This window comes from Homo sapiens, chromosome 12 (assembly GCF_000001405.40).
Source record: "Homo sapiens chromosome 12, GRCh38.p14 Primary Assembly".
NCBI classification, from domain to species: Eukaryota; Metazoa; Chordata; class Mammalia; order Primates; family Hominidae; genus Homo; species Homo sapiens.
Window position 1 is genome coordinate 113,122,225 of NC_000012.12, and position 24,765 is coordinate 113,146,989.

General features: G+C 50.5%; 1 protein-coding gene across 21 annotated transcripts in view, besides 1 other annotated feature; it reads right to left on the reverse strand.

Moving 5' to 3' along the window:
• Window positions 1-14,532, reverse strand: part of RASAL1 (RAS protein activator like 1) — a 37,479-nt gene extending 22,947 nt beyond the window's left edge. For 9 of the 21 annotated variants that reach the window (XR_007063139.1, NM_001193521.3, NM_001394085.1 and 6 more), the window contains exons 1-4: window positions 13,174-13,537; window positions 8,661-8,717; window positions 5,841-5,954; window positions 5,588-5,649 (exon numbers count right to left, since the gene is read on the reverse strand). Coding sequence is in view for 20 of the 21 variants with exons in the window: in NM_001193521.3 (NP_001180450.1) it covers window positions 5,588-5,649; window positions 5,841-5,954; window positions 8,661-8,717; window positions 13,174-13,238 (298 nt within the window). In the remaining variant the exon portion in view is untranslated. Of the gene's footprint in view, window positions 1-5,587; window positions 5,650-5,840; window positions 5,955-8,660; window positions 8,718-13,173; window positions 13,538-13,603; window positions 13,679-13,836; window positions 14,016-14,516 lie in introns of those variants that run through there. The other 12 variants (NM_004658.3, NM_001394083.1, XM_005253950.5 and 9 more) reach the window with 6 other exon arrangements.
• Window positions 13,524-13,663: a silencer, noted in NCBI's record as "silent region_4891". NCBI's record gives its function as "represses an Ori minimal core promoter by ATAC-STARR-seq in GM12878 lymphoblastoid cells {active_cell/tissue: GM12878}" and the evidence as "EXISTENCE:reporter gene assay evidence [ECO:0000049][PMID:35858748]".

Genomic DNA, 24,765 nt, shown 5'->3' on the forward strand with positions numbered 1-24,765 from the left:
CACTTCCCCCTGGTATAGAAAGAACTTCATCATGTAATCCCAACATACTCTCCCCTCAAAAAAATCTTGGACATTTCTCCCCTCTGTATTTCTCTCAACACTTTGAAGATATTGTTCCACTGAATTCTAGCTTTCCATCACCAGGCTGGAGTGCCGTGGCACAATCTCAGCTCACTGCAGCCTCAGCCTCCCAGGCTTAAGCGATCCTCCTGCCTCAGCCTCCCCAGTAACTTGGACTACAGATGTATACCACCACAGCTAGCTAATTTTTTGTGTTTTTTGTAGAGACGAGGTTTTGCCATGTTGCCCAGGCTGGTCTCGAACTCCTGAACTCAAGCCATCTGCCTGCCTTGGCCTCCCAAAGTTCTGGGATTACAGGCAGGAGCCACTATGCCCAGGCTTTTCTATCTATTATAATTCTAAGGACTATGTCTCTGATGCACTGCAGTTTCATCACAATGTGTCTAGATACAGATTTTTTAAAATCCTGCTGAGTAGAGATTGCACTGCTTCTATTTATGGAATCATATCCTTCCTTTATTTCTGCAAAATTCTAGATGATTGATTTTTTAAAATTATTTCCTCTTCCCAATTTTTGTTATAATTTTTGCCTGTCTCTAATTTTTAAAATTCTATCCTTCTGGAACTCCAATTAAATAAATGTTAAACCTCCACAGTTATTTTCCATGTCTCTGAATTTCTATTTTATTTTTTCTCCTTTTCCTCTGAAACTAATTCTGAATAATTTCTCTAGACCTTTCTTCCAGTTCACTAAATCTCCCTTTAACTATGAATAATCTGATGTTTCACTCAACCACTCCATTTTTTATTTTGACAATTATACTTACCTCTAAAAGTTTTATTTGGTGCTTTTCTAAAATCTGTCTGCGTAATTACTTGTAATTTATTGCTGTTATTGCAGACCTTTCTTGTGATTACATCTTTTATTTCTTTAAATCTGATTCTTTTTAAAAATCCCGTATATTATAATTACAGAATCTAAAGTCTTTGTGGGTCTAAATCAGATGATTATTGTTTCTGCTGACTATTGCCCATGGTGTCTCATTTCCTTGTGTGTTTGCTGATCTTTGATTGTGAAGTCATGTTTGTTTGATCTTACTCTGGGAAACCTAAGTGAACATGCTTATCCCTAGAGAGGAGCAGGAGTTGGTTATTCTGGGACCCCTTGAGGGTCTCAGCCTAATGGAGAATTCTCATGTTGAGTAACATCCACCCTGCCCCTTGTCCAAGTTTTAGTCTCTTTGTTGAGTGTAGAATTGATACTGACGTCTGCTTTCAGGGAAATCCTTCATGGTCTCCTTGCTTTTTGTTTACCATTCACTGTTAGGTTTTAGCTAATGGTTTTTGTTTTTGTTTGAGATGGAGTCTCACTCTGTCACCCAGGCTGGAGTGCAATGGTGCAATCTTGGCTCACTGCAAACTCCACCTCCCAGGTTCAAGCAATTCTCATGTCTCAGTCTCTCGAATAGCAAGGATTACAGGCACCTGCCACCATGCCCATCTAATTTTTGTATTTTCAGTAGAGTGGGTTTTCACCATGTTGGCCAGGCTGGTCTCGAACTCCTGACCTCAACTGATCCGCCAGCCTCGGCCTCCCAAAGTTCTGGGATTACACACGTGAGCTATTCCACCCAGTCTCATGACTTGAGATGGAAAAAATACTGAGGGATTTCCCGTTCTATAAAGAAGTTTGGCCTGGCATGGTGGTTCACACCTGTAATCCCAAAAGTTTGGGAAGCCAAGGTGAGCTGATCACCTGAGGTCAGGAGTTTGAGACCAGCCTGGCCAACATGGCAAAACCCTGTCTCTATGAAAATACAAAAAAAGTTAGGCATGGTGGTGCATGCCTGCAATCCCAGCTACTCCAGAGGCTGAGGCATGAGAATCGCTTGAAACTGGAAGGCGGAGGTTGCAGTGATCTGAGATCATGCCACTACACTCCAGCCTGGGTGATAGAGCGAGACTCTGTCTCAAAAAAAAAAAAAAAAAAAAAAGTTACCACAAGTCCAACAATGTATTAGGAACCCTATTTAATCCAGGATCTCACTGTTGTATAGCAGGAGAGTGCTTTTGAGGATTGAGTCCCGCCAGCTGCTGAAAGTAGAAGTCTCATCTCACATCTCTCTATCTCCACTGCAGCCTCCACATTTCCGCCACATGCTTGCAGACACATGGACACGTTCCTTCTTTTCTTGCTGCCTGTTCTGTGGGAATGTGTTCTGTTTTCCTATCCAAGTCCACAAGTTCCTGCAAGCCAGGCCTCAAACTTCACTCATTTAATTTCACTGCCCTGGGAGGATGTTTGAGGTACACTGGGTACAGCTCAGTGGGCAGATTAAGAGCACAGATTTTGGAGGCCGACAAAACTTGGGTTGGACTCTGATTTCTGAACCTTCTAGAAGGGGGAAGTCACCTCCCCTCTCTATGCCTCTGTATATTGGAGATCATTCTGGTGGACACTTCACTGGTGTGTTGAGAAGTAAAGCGCTTAGCACCATGCCTGGCATATAGTAGGCCCTCATGAAATAGGATTATAATGATGATCAGCACATAGTAGGTTTTCAACTAATTCCCACTGAGGGAAATAATGCATTATTCAATAAATGGTATTGAGACAATTAACAGTCATGTAGACAAAAAGTAATAAAGTTTAATCCTTACTACATACCTTGTATCTAGGCAAATTCCAAATAGATCAAAGACTTAAATGTGTTTTTTGTTTAATGCAATAAATGGCCAGGCATGGTGGCTCACACCTGTAATCCCGGCACCTTGTGGGGCCAAGGCAGGAGGATTGCTTGAGGCCAGGAGTTCAAGATCAGCCTGGACAACATAGTGAGAACTTGTCTCTTAAAAAAAAAAAAAAAATACATATACATATATGTGTGTGTGTTTGTGTATGTAATACATTAATGTTAGAAGGAATTATGTTTTAAAATGTTTCTCTTAATCTTAGAGTTGAGAAGTTCTTTTTAGGTCTAACAGAAAATTCAGAACCAAAAGAAAAATATGAGATTAAATATAGAAAAAGAAATTTTATACATGAAAAAATTACAGGCAAAGTCAAAACGTAAGAGACAAATGGAGAAAAAATATTGCAGCTAATTTGACAAAGAAGTAACTGCCCAAATATGTAAAGAGCTCCTACAAATCAATAAGAAAAGGCAAACAACCTAGTGGGGGGAAATTCATGTATAATATGAGTAGACAATAAATGGAAGAGAAAATAAAGTGATTCTTCAAAACTGTATATAAAAAAGGCTCATGGAGAAGTGCAAAATAAACCTATGCTGAGGCAATATTTCACCTATCAGATACACGATCAAAAAGTTTGATAACTGGCTGGTCTGAGTGCGGTGGTGTTTACAACTAATTGATCACAAAAAGTTTGATAACTGAGAGAGTGTGGGGTGAGTGAACTGCTACCTCTTCCATGGAGGGTAATTTAGCAACAACTATCAAGTATGCAAATGTGTGCACTCTTTAATTCACCTCTAGTAATTTATCTGACCGATGGATATAACTTACATATGTGTGAAATTTTATTTGTACAGGCTAGTTATTGTAGCATTGCTTGAACCAGGGAAAGACTATGACCTCCCTAGATGCCATCAGTAGGGAACTAGCCAAATAAACAATGGTAAAGCCACACAATGAAGCACCACGATGCCATCCCAAACGAAGAATGCGGAAACTCTGAGACCACTGTTATAGGAAGATCTCAGAGATACTTAGTGAAGTGAAAAGGCAAGGTACAGGCCGGGTGCAGTGGCTTATGCCTGTAATCCCAGCACTTTGGGAGGCTAAGGCAGATGGATCACTCGAAGTCAAGAGTTCGAGACCAGCCCGGCCAACATGGTGAAACCCCATCTCTACTAAAAATACAAAACTTAGCCGGGTGTGGTGGCAGACCCCTGTAATCCCAGTTACTCAGGAGGCCAAGGCAGGAGAATTGCTTGAGCCCGGGAGGCAAAGGTTGCAGTGAGTTGAGATTGTGCCATTGCACTCCAGCCTGGGCGACAGAGCAAGACTCCGTCTCAAAAATAAATAAATTAATTAATTAAAAAAATTTTAAAGGCAAGATACAGAGCAGAGTGTAAAAGGCTGCAATTTGTATAAGCACAGAAAAACACAGTATTAAGAGCGCAGACTCGGCTTGGTGCAGTGGCTCACACCCGTTATCCCAGCACTTTGGGAGGCCAAGGCAGGTGGATCACTTGAGGCCAAGAGTTCAAGACCAGCGTGATTTCACATGGTGAAACCCTTCCTCTACAAGAAATACAAAAATTAGCCAGGTGTGGTGGTGCACGCCTGTAGTCCCAGCTACTTGGGAGGTTGAGGTGGGAGAATCACTTGAGCCAGGGAGGTTGAGACTGCAGTGAGCCAAGACTGCACCACTTCACGACAGCCTGGGTGACAGAATGAGACACTGTCTCTCTCTCTCACACACACACACACACACACACACACACACACACACACAAAAGGCATAGACTCTGGAACTAGACAACTTTGGTTCAAATCCTGGCTGCCTCACTTAATAATGTGATCTTGAGCAAGTCATTTAACTTTCTGTGCCTCAGTTTATTCACCTATAAAGTGGGCATTAATAATTAGAGCACCTGCCTCTCAGGGTTATGATGAACCTACATCACTGAGTCCATAAATATAAAGAATTAGTGTTCAGAATAATATTTATATATAATTATTATATATAAATATGTTATATGTTTATATTTATTATATATAAATATGTTATATGTTTATATTTATATATACAGTATATAAATGTTTGCTGCTGTTATTATTTTTAAATTATTTTTAGTAGCAATGGGGTCTCCCTATGTTGTCCAGGCTGCTCACGGACTCCTGGGCTCAAGCGATCCTCCTGCCTCTGCCTCTGCCTCTGCCTCCCAAGGTGCTGGGATTACAGGTGTGAGGCACAATGCCCAGCCTGCTATTACTACTGTTACTTGCTTATATATGTTTAAAATATTTCTAGAAGGACATACAAGAAGCTGACAATGCCAGGAAGGGAACAGAGTAGCTGGGGTGCTTATCATAAAATCTGAATGTTGAACTAGGCAAACAAATTAACTGCTCAAAAACTAAAGACAAGGCTGGGCATAGTGGCTCACACTTGTACTCCCAACACTTTGGGAGGCCAAGGTGGGAGGATTGCTTGAGCCCAGGAGTTTGAGACCAGCTTGGGCAACATAGCAAGACTCCGTATCTATAAGATATTTCTGAAAAAATTAGCTGGGTGTGGTGGTGTGCACCTGTAATCCCAGCTACTCCAGAAGCTGAGATGGGAGGATCGCTTGAGCCCAGAGGTTCAAGATTGCAGTGAGCTATGATAGCACCACCGCACTCCAGCCTGGGTGACAGAGCAAGACCTCATCTCTAACAACAACAATTAAAAGCAAACAAAAAGTAAAGACAAAAGCAACAAGAGAAATAAGTTTCCACTGAAGGCTCTGTGCTTCACCGTGCCATGTGCTATGCCCCTGCAAATGCCCACCCTGGGCATGGCCCCCTCCTCCCTCTGCCCATGTCCCTCGCCCACCTCGGGGGTCGGCTGTAATCGCCTCCCTGCTCAGCGAGATCTTGCCGATGATGTCGTCGTGCCTGCAGGAAGGCGGGCACGTGAAGGTCTGAGTCAGGGGCCCCTTTGCCCCGCCCCAAGAGAAGTGGGGGCAGGTGTCAAGGTCTGGGTGGGAGGGCACACCCTCGTGGGCTGTGGACCCACATCCCCTCTCCCCTCAGGTGCCCAGGCTTGGGTCCCTAACCCACACATTCCACTTTCCCCAACCACAAACCCGACAGTGTCCTCATCCAGCACGTAGAAGGCCAGCTGGTGGAAATCCAGAGGCAGGTGCACCGTGTACTCCTCCCCCCAGAAGGGGCCCAGGCTCCTCCAGACAGTAGCTGTCCTGCAAAAGGAGGTGCAGGGGGCTGGGGTCCTCGGGCCACACAGGAGGCAGACACCTGGAGACCCAGACACACACACACACACACACACACACACACACACACGGGAATCCAGACACACACACACTCAGAGACCCCCCACATGAACCCAGTTAGAGGCCCAGACACACACACACACCCAAGGACAGCCACTCCAAGATCCTAGATATGTACTCACCCAGGGACACTGGAGCATGTATGAATCCAGGCATAGAAACACACACAGACCCCAACACTCACATACCCAGAGTATCAGACATACACCAGAGATCTCAACACACACACACACACACACACAGAGGCACATACACAAAACACACACATGATCCTACACACCCACATACAGGGCCCCAATACACATCTAAGGTCCCAGATACACAGAGACCAACAGACATGCATAGCAACCAACAGAAACATATGTGCAGATACACACACACGGATTCACACTGAGACAGAGTTGCTCACAGATACACCAAGGAGGCCAGAGACAGAGACACATTTACACATAAGCAGATACACATATGCACCCTCAGAAAGTCCTAAAAACATGTACCTTTGTGTTTGGAAATCCAGACACCAGACACATGCAGATAGACACATAGAAAACAGACACATATGAAAACATATGAAAATAGACATATGTCGGGAACACAGAGACACACTCAGAGATCCAGAGACACACTCTCACACACTTACAATGATACAAGGCAGGTACACATAGAGACACACACACAGTCATACAAACACACAGTCACTGACACACACACACACACACACACACACACACAATTCCATTCATTCATTTGTTCATTCGTTTACTCCATAAACATTCACTTGGACTATGGGCCCAGCCTGTGCTGGGCTCCAGGGATCAGAGGAACAGGTGTCAGGGCTGCTTACCCCACAGACCCCCCTTCCACAAGCAGGCGCTCTCTCCCAGCAATTAGGACATGGTGGGAGAAGTCCTGGGATTGGGGTTAGCTCAATCGCCCCTGGTTGGGTCGTGGGGGTAGGGTCGGAGGGGATTAGGGAAGGCTTCCTGTAGGAGCTAGTCAGGCAAAGTGGGGAGAGACAATGAGGACAAGGACAAGTATTCCAGAAGGCTGGAACAGCATGGGCAAAGGCCCTGTAGCAGGAATGAGTTTCGTGAGCTGAAGGAATAGGAAGGTGCCTGGTGGGAATGGGGGAGGGAGAGGGGCCAGGAGACAGGAGGTGAGCAGGGGACAGAGCACTCGGGGCTTTGAAGCACACAGTGAGCAGGAGGAAGGCACAGGAAGGATGGGGACCAAGATAAGCCCAGAAACAGGTGCACACACACAGCATCTCTGCCCTGACATCCCTGCAGGGGTACTTCCCTTTACCCAGCAGAGAACAGATTCTACTTGCCCGGTAAAGACACACCCACATTTGTGGATGCAAAGTTTGGTTCTCATACCTGTTGCTCCCTTCCTCCCTCCTTTCACCACACTGTGCCCTAAGAAAGAGTGCACATATGCGCGCGTGCGCGCACACACACACACACACCCCGCCTTCTTCCTCCAGCCCAGCGGCACCAACCTCAGATGGACCCCCAGTGCTTCCTCCCAAATACCCTCTTCCCCCAACCTGACCTTTTCCCAGCCAAAGGTCTTCTGAACATTCCCCAGCTCCTGAGCTGAAAGGCTTCTTACAGCCCAGAGAGGGAGAGACAGCAGCCTGGGGTCACACAGAAAATCAATCTGTGGGTTTGGGGTGGTGTCAGGGAATGTATCAAGGGGCCAGCATGAGCACTGGGAGGACAGTGGAGGGGAGTCAGTGGAGGGGGGAGCTACAGCTGACCCCTCCCCCAGGCAGGCTCCCCACCCCCAGCTCTGAGCCCATCTGGACCAGAATAGGAGCATCCTGAATCCTGCCGTCTCCATAGGAACCAAGGCCTCAGCCACCCACCAGCCCACCCACCCCCATCAGGCCTCCAGGGGCTGAGAGCTGTCCCTCGGCCTGCGGGGGTGGGAGCCAAGCAGGGCGCAGCCTGATATCCCCCTGCGAGACTCACTGACACCCCAAACATCCTCACACCTTCACATGTGTCCACACCGGTGCCTTTGTGACCAAATCAGCTGGCATTGGTGTTCACATGCATGTGCAGGGCAGCCATGTGCACGTGCATGTACATGCACCCTACACTGGTACACACACGTGAGCCTGTGCCCTGCACAGCCACGAGGACATACACACGTGGTCACAGGCACTCACACTAGCCCCGCAACATCCCCCACCCCCTGCAACTCACAAGCAGGCCCAGCTGGGCGGGTGCACACACAGACACACATGCACATGCCCACGCGCACAGACATCCCCAGTGCCCGCAGCACCCGGCAGGCCCGGAACCAACCAGTCCAGCCAAGCGTGAGATGCCCGCCCCCAGGGAGGCCACTGTAGGAGGCACAGGCTGGCAGCGCTGAGTCAGCCCCAGGGAGCCAGCAGGGACAGCATTAGGTCCAGAGGGGGAAGGCAGGGCTGGTCGGGGAGAGGAGCTGGCAGTCCCAGCTGGACACAAATCACCCACCTGCAGGCCCGCGAGTCCCCCTCAGGGTAAGCACTCCTTTAAATGTGAATTCTTGGTCCCAGATTCCCCAGGTCTAGAAAGAGACCCCTCCCTTCCTCCTCTCCCCCGTGTCGCCACCCCTCACCTGGCCACCACCTCGTCGTCCACTTTCACTAGGCAGTAGGGGTCGCTGCTCCCAGACCTGCAGAAGGAGGGAGTTCAGGGAGGAAGCAGGTTGAGAGGGCAGCCATGAGTGGAGGGTCCCAGTCATGACACAGGCAGGGGAGTCGGAGGCACAGACAGAGAAGGGGACTTGCCCAGGGTCACACAGCAAGTCCAGCTCAGAAGTAGAACCTTAGGGGACCAGCAGGAGATGTCACAGCTGCCCAGGCCACCACATCTGTGCACTCTGGGCTTCCACCCATAGAAATAGAACAGGGAGGCCTGAGGCCAGCAGGTTCTGAGTCCTGGCCTCGAAAAGCCCAAAGCAGAGGCCCAGAGCGTGTGTGGGGGGGGTGGGGGGGTCTTGAATGCCTGGCTTCACCACCCTCTGGCTGTGCCATCCCAGAGAGTCCCCTTCCCTCTCTGGGCCTCAGTTTCTCTGCTCTATAAATCAGGTGTGATGCTCACATACACCTCCTAGGGGGCTGGAGGAACTCAAATGCTGGGCCGGATCATGGTCTGGCCCCCAGCTCTCCCCTGCAGGGGCTTTAATGCTGTGTCCCCAGCTTTTCATTTCAATGGGAGCTTCCCTGGGAAGGGGACTCCCCATTCCTCAGCCCTCCATGGGGACAGACTCAGCAGACCCTCCCTACAGGCAAAGACCAGGGAACCCAGGCTTCAAAATCAACCCTCGAAATCTCTTAAGATGTGCTGCACCCCCTTAAGTAGCTATGAGTCATCTGCCAATTCAGGCCAGCTGCATCCCCCCTTCATAATAACAGTCACCAGCAAATCCCAAGCTGTCTAACAGGTCCCTCACTTCCTCCTCCATCCCATCATACAGGGCTTCTTTGTCTTTCATCAGGCCCCAGGCCAGCCTCAGGGCCTTTGCACCTGCTGTTCCCTTTGCCTAAGACACTTTAGCCCTGATACTGCCATGGCTGGCTCCTTCCTGCCATTCAAGTCTCAGTCCAAAGTCACCTCCTTGAGAGGCTGTCCCTGGCCACCACTGTCCTATCTAAAATGACCTCCACCTAAAATCATCTTCTTTCTTCTTCTTCTTCTTCTTTTTTTTTTTTTTTTTTTTTGAGACAGAGTCTCACCGTATCACCCAGGCTGGAGTGCAGTGGCGCGATCTTGGTTCACTGCAATCTCTGCCTCCCAAGTTCAAGCGATTCTCCTGCCTCAGCCTCCTGAGTAGCTGGGATTACAGGCACACACCACCACACCTGGCTAATTTTTTGCATTTTTAGTAGAGACAGGGTTTCACCATGCTGGCCAGGCTGGACTCCAACTCCTGGCCTCCAGTAATCCACCCGCCTCGGCCTCCCAAAGTGTTGGGATTACAGGCGTGAGCCACCACAGCCGGCCTCCCTTATTTCTCTATGCGTTTAGTATTGTCTCCCCACCTCCCTGCCACTTCCAAACTGTGAACTCCCTGGGGAGAGTCTGTGTCCCCCACTTCCCCACCCCTGGCCCCCACATCTGGCATGCATTTGGCCCTCTAGAGCTATTTCTGAATGACTGGGTTTATGGAGTGCTCTCTCTGGAGCACGGAGTAACAGTGGAGATAGGACTGGGACCCAGGTTTGTGGGCTCACACTCATGTTCTGAAACCAATGCCCCCTCTACCTATTCAAATGGCCCTCTCCCTCGATGCCCCAGCACCACTCCCTTGATCTCTGCCACCTTCTGTCTCTCCAGTTTGTATAGATCCACAAATGCCTCTGGGATGCCAGGAAAGAGGGACATTGGCGCTAAGAGTTGCCTCCAACCTGAACCTATCTTGCTGGATGAGCCCTTCCCTGTGCCTCGGTTTCCCTCTCTGGACTCCTTCCCTCATCCCCCTCTGGCTGGACACTCCAATGCCTCCATTTCCCTACCTGGCTTCTATCCCTGAACACTTTAGACAGACAGTGTCTTCGTGATCCTCTGTGGATCCTACATCTGAATCCCCTTCTGTGGAGTGCCCCAAGCCTCAGTTTCCTCTTCTGGCTCCATCCCAAATCCATTGGAGCCTCAGTTTCCCCATCTGGGCTTCACCTTCAGACTCCTGTGGCTGGTAATGTCCTGTGTCTCAGTTTCCTTCCCTGGGTTCTCCACCCCTAAGCTTCCTTTATGCAGGCTCCCACCCCTCAGTTTCCCCAACTACAGATGTGGGGTCAGATGGGCTGGGATCCCACTAGCCGAGGGCTGGGAGACACACCCCCTCCTGCAGACCCAGCCTGACCTCCAGGCCCTCCTGGGAGCCGAGCTCAGCACTAGTCAGCTGCAGGGCTCTGACGCATGAGGGCCTTATCAGACTCCTATCAGGGAGGGCAACGGTGGCAAGAGGGGGTGGCTGCTTCCAGACCCCTGATCTCTCCAGACTTGTGGCCTCTCCCACGGCCCCTGACTCAGCTCAGTCTTGGGAAAGCAGGCCCCTCAGCCATTGCCTGCCCAGTCTGGTTTGGGCATGGAGTAGTCAGAGTTCAAATCGCAGCTGGGTGACCTTAGGCAAGTGACTGCCTCTCTGGTCCTCAGTTTCCCCATTTGTAAAATAAGAGACGCCAATAGAACTATATGAAGTGTTAAGCACAGGGCCTGTCCATACTAAGCCCTCAGTGACTGACTGCTACTATTTCTAATAGTAAAAACTCTAAAATTACCTGAAGAGGCCTCCTCCCGGGCCAGAATGGACCCCCCTCAAACCTGGCAATGCTTTAGGCAGAATCTGGGCCCTTTCCCTTAGGAGAAGAGGGAAAGAACACACCCCACCTAAGGGCTCCCATGGCATGGAGCTCCCAGCAGCCTCCAGGAAGAGCCCCTTTGAAGAAGGGTGCTGACAGCTAGGGAAACTGAGGCAGGGTGGCCAGAACCCCCCCTGCCAGCTGGGGCTAAGTGACTCCTCCCCACCCTTGCTCTAGGGCATGACCTATTTCATAGCTCACTGGCCCAGGAATTGGGGGCAGGAAGTTTGGCCAAGAGCTGCAGGAACCAGGCATGACTCAAGTCCCTTCTCCAGAAGAGCAGCAGGTTACCGTAAGCCAGTGTCCAGGTGCAGGGGTGACACCCATCGCCCCCTCATGACCTCTCACCCAGGGCTGGTGGAGGGGCCAGAGCTCAGTGAGTGAGAACCCCGTTTCTGGAAAGAACTCCTTTCACCACCTAGCAGCTGCCAGGCATCCAGCCTGGCCTCAATGCCCTAACAGTGTAGGCCGTCTCATTCCCAGGGCCTCTGAGGGGACATCTTAGAAAGAGTCTGGTGGGGGGGCTTGTCCAGCCACTGAACTGTCAGAGCACACACTCTGCTTCTCATTCAGGGTGTGTATATTTGGAGTAGCCAATGAGGATGAAGGGTGGCAAAAATTGCTCTCAACAGCTGCCCCCTTGACGCAGCTGCAGTGTTTTGGGGGTTGGGAATGTCATAAAATCAGGCAGGAAAGTCCTCTCTGGGAGCCCACACCTTGGGGAATCAGCACAGAGCTAAGACTGAATCTTGACACAGGTGAAGGCTCCCAATCCATGCTCCTGCTCACCTGGGCCACAGGGGAACTCCTAACAGGTCCTCCACCCTCCCAGCTGGATGGGAGACCCCAGGCAACCAGATGGGGACTCCGGTCCAGAGCTCTCATTGCCCAAATGGGAAACCAAGGCCCAGAGAGAAGCAGGTTCAAGGTCACACAACAAATGTCCTCCAGAGGATCCCACACCTGTCGCAGGTGCTAAGGCCCTCAGAGCCCCTTCTGGGCACTATGCCAAGCAGGAGGGGGAACCCGCCCCCCATATTCTGCTGATTCAGCAGCTGCTGACTCAGCCCTGGGGGAAGCATAGCTTGGGACTAGTAGTGAAGGGAGCCGTAGGGTCCCCCAGTCCCATTGCACCTGGCTGGGGAGGGGGTCGCAGCAAGGAATTGGCTCTTCAAGCAGCTCAGCACCCGGGGAAGGCCCACACGAGGCTGGGAGCCACAAGACTGGGGAGCTCAGGGCTTGGGGTCAAAAGGACCCTGGAGGGCCACCTGGTGACACTCTGCAAACCTAAGCACCAGATCCACACAGGATGTTAGGGCTCATCTGATCCCAGGCCCTCTCCAAGGGTCCTCCCCAGGGTTCCCTTGCTAGGCCCCCACCCACGCCTGGAGGAGCCACCTCCAACATCTGCCTGGACTAAGGAAGAGACCCCCCGCTTTCTCCCCTCCCAGATCTGACAGAATATGGCCCTCTAATCCCCTCTTCAGCTCTGGACGACCCCCTTTAGTACATCCCGGGAACAAAGACACCCCCTCCCCTGCCCGGGGGTGAGGCGGGGCATCTGCTAACTCTAGGCGCCCCCCTCCCACCGGGACAGCCATGGGCATGCGGCCTCTCGCCCCTTTAAAGCGGAACTGCCCCAAGACCAGTCTTGGACAAGAACCCCTCGCCCTCCTGCCAACCCGCCCTGGCACGCGGAAAGGGCGACGTCGGCCCCACCCCAGGCCTTGCGCGCCCCTCACCCAGAAGCGCCCGAGGAGTACTCACACGTCCTTGGCAGGCAGCGCGCGGCCCTCCACCACGCGAACATTCAGGGAGCTGCTCTTGGCCATGGCGCCTAGCCACAAACTTTCCAGGCAGAAGGGCGCTCAGGTTCCGAGGCTGGACCAGGGGACGTCTACATGTCACCTGCTTCAAGCCTGGCTCCCTGCCTCGTGGTCCCAGTGCCGCCTGTCCGAGACCCGGGTAGCTGGATGGGAGATTTCCGAAAGAGGAGAAGGTGTAGGTGCCCGGGGAGGGAGCGCCCGTCCGGACTCTACAGGTAGGAGCCGTGCTCCGAGCAGGAGGAGCGCGCAGGGGGCGCAGCGGGCTCTTGCCGAGGCGTCTGGAGCTCCAGACAAGCAGGCTGGGCGGGCAGGGGGCGGGAGGGGCGGCCCAGGGACCTCCCCACAATCCCGCCTCCAATGGGGTCCCCCACCTGACCCCGGGCCCCCTCGCGCGCCCTCTACCGGCACCCCAGTCATGCGCGCCAGAGCGCACGGGCGGCGGAGACAAGGGTGCACCGCCAGGTGGGGAGGGGCCCCCGTCCTGATGGGCGTGGCCGCTGGCTCCTGGTGAGTTGGCATTGGGCTTAAAAGACATGGTCTGTGCCCCCGCCTGTCCCTCATCCAACATATTCACACCTCTCCGCCCCCACCCCTCCTTGCCTACCATGCAGACACCTGCCTCCTCTCTCCAACCTCCGCGCCCCCCGGTCCAGGAGCAAGTATTAGTGGTGGGTGGGAGGCGTCGCCAGAGAGAGGGTCGCATGTTCCCTGGGGGTCCGTTCAGAGTCAAGGGAGGGGCCTTGAACATCCCCTTCCATCTCGTTCTAGTTTCCAGTTAAACACAGAACCCAGACTCTGCTCTAACGTCACGGGCTGGCACTGCGGGGGAGGAAGCCGCGGCCAGATGGGGGAGGGGAAGGCTTGAAGATAACCACTACAGCGATGATAAAAAGTCATCTACAGTTGTTTGAACACTTCATGGGTGCCAGGCACTGTTCTAAGCGCTTTACTGGGATTAGCTCATTTTTGTCTCCAGATGTGCACTACACACTACTCCACTGTTACCCCATTATCCGCAGTTTATGGATAAAGAAACTGAGGTTCAGAGGGATTAAATAACTTGGCAGAGGTCTCACAGTCAGTAACTGATTTGCCTTCCAGGGGTTCGAATCCTGGCTCTGCCATTTGGTAGCTGTCTGGACTTGGGTAAGCCATTCAACCTCTCTGTGCTTTGGTTTGGTTTTCTCATCTGTTGAGTGAGGATGACATTGCATTTCAGTCACAGGATTTTGAAAGAATTAAAAGAGTTAATGAAGATAAAAGTCTCAGGACAGTGACAAGTACCTAATACACGTCCAGAAAGTGTTTGATATTCTGATTGTTGTCCTTTGAGGCGTGGGCCACGCGTCACCTCTCCTGGGAAGGCTTCCAGGATGCCCTTCCACTCCGGTAGAGATTTTCTTTCCTTTCTCTCTGCTCCAGTGGCTCCAGGTTTGTACATTTTTCTGATTTTAAATGAGATAATATGACAGGCAGGGCCTGTCCCAGAACAGATCCGTTCGCACACTTATTTCTCCCTGTGAATTCATTGTTGACCTGCCCAAGACCTCTTAGAAAGGCCAGGCACCAATGGGAGTGCCCCTGCAGACTGAGTGCGGGAGCCAACGCCCAGACCGGTGAGACCAGGAGTGCCCTTCCTGGATCCGTCAGCAGCCCAATGGTCTGCTTCCCAGTCTCCCTTCTTGACTCCCCACCCAGCAACCCAGACAGGCTGATGAGGAACTCAGAGCCCTGGAATTCCTTCCCCAGCTGGTGGCTGCCTGGTGAGTCTCTGACCCACCAGAGATGGGGTCTCAGTTAATCCCATCTGGGAAATGGACCTAGCAGAACAGGCTCCAAGGCTTAGAAGTATTGCAACATCCTCAGCGGGGCATGAGGGGTAATCCAGGGTTAGATCCAGAACAGTAATAGCCCCAAAGGAGTCATCCCACTGTGATTTTTTTTTTTTTTTTTGCCCAGCTGGAGGGCAGGGCTCGATCTTGGCTCACTGCAACTTCCACTCCTGGGTTCAAGTGATTCTCCTGCTTCAGCCTCCTGAGTAGCTGGGACTACAGGCACCCACTACTATGCCCGGTTAATTTTTGTATTTTTAGTAGATTTTTATAGTTTGTATTTTTATATCACCATGTTGGCCAGGCTGGTCTTGAACTCCTGATCTCAAGCAATCCACCCACCTCAGCCTCCCAAAGTGCTGGGATTATAGGCGTGAGCCACCATGCCTGGCCCACTGTGATCTTTATCAGTTACCCCAGATTCTCTCCAAAGAAAATATACCACCTAAGGTGGTGGGGGGAATGGTACTTAAGGTATTTGCTATGTAACTGAAGCTTTAAGACGGGAATCCTGCCCCCCGCCCCACACCGCCCCCCACCACACACATTTAGTGGAAGCTACTGTTTGAGCCTTTTTCTTCTGTGAGCCTGCAAAGACCGCAGACAGGCCTCCAGACCCCCAGGACCCCTTTTGGAACCCCCTGATGATGGAACCTAAGGGGCCTGTTCCTCCAGCCCCCATGGGATGCCAGCCAAACTGCCACGCAGCCATCTTGGCCCATCTTCCAGAGCTAAGCAGGAAGTCATATACCCAAACACCCTTCCCCAGCTCCCCACGGGGAAATACCAAGGATATAGACTGTGCCAGCTGGGCCTCCAGCAAGCCAGCGCTGTTACCTGTCCAATATCTGGAGGGTGACCCCAAAATTTGCCTGGGGCAATGGCCACAGTCCCCAAACTTTGCACATGGCCCGGCCATTTCCTGTTGTTCTGAGAATCTCTGACCTGAAACTAGCAGGGAGTTGGAGGTTGCCTAGGGCAGTCCATGCCAAGGGACCGAAGCGGAAAAGGCAGACCAGAGAGAGTGTGTGACCTGCGCGGGACCATCCAGCTAGGCAGGGAGAGGGCAGGCTGGTGATTCTCCCAGGGTTATTATGAGAGTTAATCTCGAGGGCAGCGTAAGGCACTTAGCATCATTCCTGGCACATAGTAGGTGCTCAAGAAATGGCCAAACCCCAACCCCAAGCTCCTTAAAGGTAAATTCATAACCATCTCTTGCAATACCCATGCGATACACACAGCAGGTGTTTCATAAAGACTTAAGTGGGAAGAAATGCTGAGCTCAGGGTTTACCAGAAGAGGGTTTAGCATCAGGCTGACCTAGGATTGAACCCTGGCACCTGTACTTCCAAGCCAAGTGTTCTTGGGCAAGTGAGTTACTCTCTCAGTGCCTCAGTTTCTTCATCTGTAAAGTGGGGATACTAATAGAATCCACCTCTAGGATGAGCATGAGGCTGGAAAAGAAATAAGTGCCAGGTGTTTAGCACAGCCTGGCATACTACAAGCACTCAATAAATGTCATGGCCATTGTGGGACGTCCTGTGCCTGATACTGAGCCCCATTTGGTGGCTTAGCTCTGAGGCTGGGTCCTGGGGACATTGCCCAGGTAGAATGCAGGCCCAGCCCCAGATTCCAGACATGGATGAAGGCCCACACTTCAGTAGCCAGGGCAGTTCCAGATCGCTGAGCTGGGGGAATCTGAGGATTTTCATCCTGGCTGAGAAATCTGATAGACAGCTTCCAAGATCAGGGCTCCGGCCTCCCCTGTGGGCCCTCTGTCCAGGACAGGCTGAGTCTTTGCTTGATCTGAGATGCTGAGCCCTCTGACCAGGACTGGCTGAGTCTCCACTTGATCTGAGATGCTGGGCCTGTGGCCCAGGGAGGGCTCACAGGCATGGAGGAGAGAGGGCTCCTCATCCCAGAAGAGGAATCGGGCCTGGGCATGGTGGGGGCGTCCTGGAGCCCGCTCCCATCGGCACTGGATTCGACTGTGCACATAACTTTCCAACTCCATGTTTAGCCACATCACATGGGAACTTGAAATTGACTAGGGTAGGATTTACAGTATGGAAACTGGCAAATGCTACATTTGTTTTTGAGAGTCAGTTTACCAATACACTACTGGGCACAGGAATCCCCAGTCACATAGCTCTCTAGACACCGTTCCTGAATTCAACACCCTTAAGACTTTTCTCGTATCCTCCCAATCTGCTCCCCCAACACACACTGCCTTTGCTCGATCAGTCATTTCCCTCAAGAAGGCCTTTACAGGGCCAGACATGGTGGCTTACCCCTGTAATCCCAACACTTTGGGAGGCCAAGGTGGGAGGATCGCTGAGGCAAGGAGTTTGAGACCAGCCTGAGCAACATAGCAAGACCTCGTTGCTACAGAAAATTTTAAAATTAACCAGGTATGATGGCTTGCACCTGTAGTCCCAGCTACTCAGGAGGCTGAGGCAGGAGGATGGCTTGAGCCCAGGAGTTCAAGGCTGCAGTAAGCTATGATAGCATCACTGCACTCCAGCCTGGGCAACATAGCAAGACACCGTATCTTAAAAATAAATAAATAGGCTGGGTGTGGTGGCTCACACCTGTAAACCTAGCATTTTGGGAGGCCGAGGCAGGAGGATCACTTGAGCTCAGGAGTTTGAGATCAGCCTGGGCAGCATAGTGAGGCCTCATCTCTATTATAGAATTCTTTTTAATTAAATAAGTAAATAAGGCTGGGCATGGTGGCTCACACCTGTAATCCCAGCATTTTGGGAGGCCGAGAGGGACAGATCACTTGAGCTCAGGAGTCAGAGACTAGCCTGGGCAACATGGCGAAACCCCGTCTCTACTAAAAATATAAAAATTAGCCAGGCGTGGTGGCATGTGCCTGTAATCCCAGCTACTTGGAAGGCTAAGGCACAAGAATTACTTGAACCTTGGAGACATAGGTTTCAGTGAGCCGAGATTGCACCAATGCACTCCAGCCTGGGTGACAGAGCGAGACTTTCTCAAAAACAAATAAATAAATAAGTAAAAGTCCTCCCAATAGGTTAATAAAGATTATAAGAGATGGTGGTGGGGGGAAGTAAAGCACAGGCATCAGTGTAAATGAATACTGCATGGCTCTTTCAAAAATGTTCTCAAGGAAGATTTAATGACAAGAAAATACTAAAAAAGCATAAATGGTGAGGAAAAGGTATATACAACCATATACACAGTATGAGTCTGAGGCCATAGAATATTCTGTGTATGAATATATAAGATCTTTTGTTGAATAAACGTGTATTGAGCACCTACAATGTACTAGATGGTAGGGATATAGCGAGGTTCAAGTGAAGGATAAGATGGCCCCGCGCTGCTCTCCTGGGGCTCTCAGTAAAATAGGAAAGCAGACAAAAGTAACACAGCTCAATAATAAACTCCCAGAGAGTAAAGAACGATGCGAGGATGATGGAGCAGACATGGGGGTACAGCTGGAGCTGGAGGGATTCCTTACACAAAATAGCATGTACTTTTTTTTTTTTTTTTTTTTTTTTGAGGTGAAGCCTTGCTCTGTCACCCAGGCTAAAGTGCAGTGGCACGATCTCGGCTCACTCTGTTGCAGCCTGGGTGGCTGGAGTGATCTTGGCTCACAGGGAGGTGGAGTGGCACCTCTGCCTTCCAGGTTCAAGTGATCCTCCCACCTCAGCCTTCCAAGTAGCTAGGATTATAGGCATGTGCCACCACGCCCAGCTAATTTTTTGTGTTGTTGTTTTTGTTGTTGTTGAGACAGACTTTCACTCTGTCGCCCAGGCCAGAGTGCAGTGGGGCAATCTCGGCTCACTGCAGCCTCTGCCTCCTGGGTTCAAGCAATTCTCCTGACTCAGCCTCCCAAGTAGCTGGGATTACAGGGGTCCGCCAACACACCTGGCTAATTTTTGTTTTTGGTTTCGGTTTGTTTGTTTGTTTTTTTTTTTTGAGACCGAGTCTCGCTCTGTCGCCCAGGCTGGAGTGCAGTGGCGGGATCTCGGCTCACTGCAACCTCCAACTCCTGGGTTCATGCCATACTCCTGCCTCAACCTCCTGAGTAGCTGGGACTACAGGCGCCCACTGCCACGCTTGGCTAATTTTTTGTATTTTTAGTAGAGACAGGGTTTCACCGTGTTAGCCAGGATGGTCTCGATCTCCTGACCCCGTGATCCACCCTCCTCGGCTTCCCAAATTGTAATTTTTGTATTTTTAGTAGAGACGGGGTTTCACCATGTTGGCCAGGGTGGTCTTGAACTCCTGACCCCAGGTGACCCTCCTGCTTCGGCCTCCCAAAGTGCTGGGGTTACAGGCGTGAGCCACCACACCCAACCCCATGTGCTTCTTTTATCATCAGAAAAGGATTCGTGGTCCCTCCGGCTTCTAAAGGAACCACTGTCCCAAGCCATGTGCTCCACAGGCCATGTGGCAAGAGGGGGTGGCTGCTTCCAGACCCCTGATCTCTCCAGACTTGTGGCCTCTCCCACGGCCCCAAGTACAGGTGAGTGGCTCTCACCTCTAATCCCAGCACTTTGTGAGGCTGAGGCAGGAGGATTGCTTGAGCCCAGGAGTTTGAGACCAGCCTGGGCAACATAGCAAGACCCTGTCTCTACAAAAAATAAAAATAAAAAATTCGTTGGGTGTGGTGGCACACACCTGTAGCCTCAGCTACTCCAGAGGCTAAGGCAGGAAGATCTCTTGAGCCCAGGAGTTTGAGACCAGCCTGGGCAATGTAGTGAGACCCCGTCTCCATACATAAATAAATGGAATAGTTGTCCTTTATTTGTATTTCCACAGTCTCTGAGAAGCCCTTACAGAGGAGTGGGGAGGCAGAGATGCTCCCCCAACCCCAGGCCCCAGAGGCACCGCTGTGTGACCTTGGTCTCTTGTTCCCTTATTTCGTGGCAATTTACATGCTTCTCTTACCTTCTAAATGTCAGGGACAGTGTCTGATTCATGTTGAGCCTCCCACACAGCTAGGCACATAAGAAAGACTCACGACACGCACACCGGGCTAAACAGAATTCAGTTCCCCTGGAGGGCTGGAACCCGGCCTCTCTTCATGTGATAACAGTCACATTATTTTTTACTTCCTCCCTCCCTACAGTGCCTAGGAGGGCAGCTTCGTCATTGCCAATTTACCACCTGCCCAGTGTACCTACACCTTCAAACCAGGAGGCCTGTGTCCCCTCCTGGGGAGTGGCACCTTCCATTCTGAGGCCAAGACCAGGGCAAAGCAGACACGGGCCCTGGCCTAGGCTGGGGTGATGGGTTGTTCTTTGTCTCAGGAACACAAAGCCCTGTTTGTGATTGCTGGGCACGATTCTGGGCAGGGAGCCACGTGGGACAGGAGGCAGCGGTGGCAGGAGTGGGCAGGAATTCCCAAACCCCCTCCTGCGGGCTGGCTGCCGAGGTTCCCTCCTCCCAGGGCCTGAAAACAAGGTGTCTGTCTTTCAGTCGGCACCCCCACTTCCTCCTGCCTCAGCCCCACTCCCCAGAGTTCTCCCCGCACCCCACCTTGGAATGGAGAAGTAGAAATGGGGAAGGCACGGAAGCGTGAGATGGGCGGGTTGGGGGATATTTCCAGAGCTTGTAGGTTTTCAGCCAAGGGCAAGGCCGGCTGAGCTGTGTCCTGCTGTCACTCAGCGTCCCCACCCTCCAGGAGGTAGGGGCAGAGGCATGAAGGAGGCTGAGCTGGCAAGACACTGGGACTCCCACCCCGAAGCATGGCGGGAGGGCTTGGGAACAGCACCCCATTGAACAGAGAGGAATGCTGAGGCCTGGGTAGGCAAGGGTATTAGCTGGCTGCAGAGCTGAAGCCACAGCCCCAGCCTTCTAAGAGAAGTGGTTTGTGCAAGGACTTTCTTCCCTTCCTTAAGCCATGAGCAGCTCCAGGAGAGGGAAGTTGAATGATTTTTTTTTTTGAGATGGAGTCTCTCTCTGTCACCCAGCCTGGAGTGCAGTGGCATGATCTCGGCTCACTGCAACCTCCTGGGCTTATCCCTTCCTCAAGGAGGCCTCCCTGCCCCTGTGCATGCTCTCTAGGCCTCTCCTCCTAACCCATCACATATCTGTAGGGTGATTTGATTGCTCTGACTTCTCCACTGGCCTGTAAGCCCGGGAAGTCAGGTTTTGTCTTGTCCCCTGCTATATCCTTAGCATTGAGCACAGTGTCTGGCATAGGGTAAGATGCTCAATAAATATTTGCAAAAACCACTTCTAAAAGAACATAATGGCTGGGTGCGGTGGCTCATGCCTATCATCCCAACACTTTGGGAGGCTGAGATGGGTGGATTACCTGAGGTTGGGAGTTTGAGACCAGCCTGACCAACATGAAGAAACCCCCTCTCTACTAAAAATACAAAAAATTAGCCGGGCGTGGTGGCACATGCCTGTAATCCCAGCTACTCGGGAGGCTGAGACAGGAGAATCACTTGAACCTGGGAGGTGGAGGTTGCGGTGAGCCAAGATTGTGCCATTGCACTCCGGCCTGGGCAACAAGAGAGAAACTCCGTCTCAAAAAAAATAAAAATAAAAATAAGAATAGAAATTGCTGGTGTGGTGGCTCACGCCTGTAATCTCAACACTTTGAGAGGCTGAGGCGGGAGAATCACTTGAGCCCAGGAGTTTGAGACCAGCCTAAGCAACATAGCAAGACCTCATCTCTACAAGAAATTTTAATAATTACGGCCGCACACGGTGGCTCATGCCTGTAATCCCAGCACTTTTGGAGGCCAAGGCAGGCGGATCACCTGAGGTCAGGAGTTTGAGAGCAGTCTGGCCAACATGGTGAAACCCCATCTCTAATGCCTGTAATCCCAACACTCTGGGGGACCGAGGTAGGAGGAGGCCGAGGTAGGAGGCTCTCCTGAGGCCAGGAGATCAGGACCAGCCTGGGCAATGTAGTAAGACCCCATCTCTACAAAAAAATTTTTTAAACTTAGCCTAGCACGGTGGTGCACACCTGTAGTCACAGCTACTGAGAAGGCTGAGGTGGGAGGATTGCTTAAGCCCTTTAGCCTGGGCGACAGAGTGAGACTCTGGCTCTAAAATAAATAAATAAATAAATAAATAAAACTCTACAGTTAAAAACAATCCAGTTAAGACATAGGCAAGAGGCGTTTCACTGAACTGAACATATATTTTACTGAGGAGGATATACAGATGGCAAACAAGCACATGAAAAGATGTTCAACTTCATTAGCCTTTAAAGAAATGCAAAATAAAAACACAATGTGCTATCACTACATGCCTATCAGAATGGCTGAAATAAAAAAATAGTGATCACAGCAAAGATACAGAGACACTGGATCATTCATTTTTTGCTGGTGGAAATGTAAAATGTGCAGCCCCTATGCAAAAGAATATGAGAGGTTTTTTTAAATTTTTTAATTTAATTTTTTTTTTTTTGAGATGGAGTCTCACTCTGTCCCCCAGGCTGGAGTGCAGTGGTGCGATCTCAGCTCACTGCAACTTCTGCCTCCTGGATTCAAGCAATTCTTCTGCCTCAGTCTCCCAAGTAGAGTAGCTGGGATTGCAGGTGTGCACCACCATACCAGGTTAATTTTTGTATTTTTAGTAGAGATGGAGTTTCACCATGTTGGCCAGGCTGGCCTCGAACTCCTCCTGACCTTAGGTGATCTGTCCGCCTCAGCCTCCCAAAGTGCTGGGAGAAGTGCTCAGCTCACTCTGTTGCAGCCTGGGTGGCTGGGAGAACAGCGTGAGCCACCATGACCGGCTGGCAGCTTCTTTAAAAACGAAATGTCACTTACCATACAGCCCAACAATTTCACTCTTGGGCATTTATCCCAAAGAAATAAAGGCATAGGCTCACACAAAAAGTAGCACATGAATCTTCATGGCATATATATATATTCTTTATATATATAATTTATTTATATGTATATATATTTTATATATGTATGTATATATTTTGGAGACATGGTCTCACTCTGTCGCCCAGGCTGCAGTGCAGTGATGTGATCACAGCTCACTGCAGCCTTGACCTCACAGGCTCCTGCCTCAGTCTCCCAAGTAGCTAGGACCACAGGCCTGTGCCACCAAACCCAGCTGATTTTTCTTTTCTTTTTTTTTTTTGTAGAGACAGGGTCTCTCTATGTTATCCAGACTGACTTTGAACTCCTGGGTTCAAGAGATCCTCCTGCTTCAGCCTACCAAAGTGCCAAGATTACAGGCATGAGCCACTGCACCTGACCCAGCTTTACTCTTAATAGCTTTATTCTTAAAAACTGGAAATGACCCAAATGTCCTTCAGCCTGAATGGTTAAACAAACTGTGGTACACCCATACCATGGCATGCTGCTCAGCAATCCAAAGGAACAAACTATCGATACATACAACAACCAGGATGGATCTCAAGAGAATTACGCGTAGTGAAAAAAGCCAATCTCAGAAGGTTACATACTGAAAGATTCCCTTTCTCTCCCCTCCCCTCCCTTCCCCCACCCCTGCTCCCCCCTCCCCCTCCTTCCTTTTGAGACAGGGTCTTGCTCTGTCACACAGGCTAGAGTGCACTGGCGGGATCATGGCTCACTGCAGACTCTGTCTCCCAGGATCAAGTGATCCTCCCACTTCAACCTACCGAGTAGCTGAGACTACAGGCATGCGCCACCACGCCTGGATAACTTTTGTATTTTTTTGTAGAGACAGGATTGCATCATGTTGCCCAGGCTAGTGTCAAACTCCTGGAGTCAAACGATCCTCCTGCCTCGGCCTCTCAAAGTGTTGGAATTACAGGCGTGGCCACCGTGGCTGGCCAATTCCATTTCTCTAACATCCTTGACATGTCAAAATTATACAGATGAAGAACAGAGGAATGGTTGTCAGGGCTTAGGGAGGGGAGAAGCAGGAGACCAGTATGCCTCTAAGTGAACCTTGTGATGAACTGTTCTGTATTTTGACTATAGTGGTTGTCACATAAATATACCTGAGGCAAGGCTGCATAGAACTAAATATACACACACACACACATACCCATGAATGCATGTTAGAATGGTGAAATCTGAGTGAGTTCAGTGGGTTGTATCAATGCCAACTTTCTGATTGTGATATTGTACTATAGTTACGCAAGATGTTACCACTGGAGAAAACTGGGTGGAAGGGATATGGGATCTCTCTGTATTGGTCCTTAAACTGCATGTAAATCTACAGTTATCTCAAAAATTAAAATGTAATCTAGGCCGGGTGTGGTGGCTAACGCCTATAATCTCAGCAGTTTGGGAGGCAGAGGCAGGCGGATAGCTTGAGCACACAAGTTCAAGACCAGCCTGGACAACATGGTGAAACCCCACCTACAAAAAATACAAAAATTAGCTGGGTGTGGTGGCACCTGACTGAGGTCCCAGTTTCTTGGGAGGCTGAGGTGGGAGGATGGCTTGAGTCTGGGAGGTAGAGGTTGCAGTGAGCCAAGATCATGCCACTGCATTCCAGCCTTGTGGTAGAGCCAGACCTTGTCTCAAAAAAAAAAAAAAAAAATTAAACCATAATCTATACTACAATACAACTATTAAAATGACCTTTTTTTTTTTTTGAGACAGAGTCTCACTCTTATCACCCAGGCTGGAGTGCAGTGGTGCAATCTCAGCTCACTGCAACCTCTGCCTCCCAGGTTCAAGCGATTCTCCTGCCTCAGCCTCCTGAGTAGCTGGGATTACAGGCACATGCCCCCATGCCCAGCTGATTTT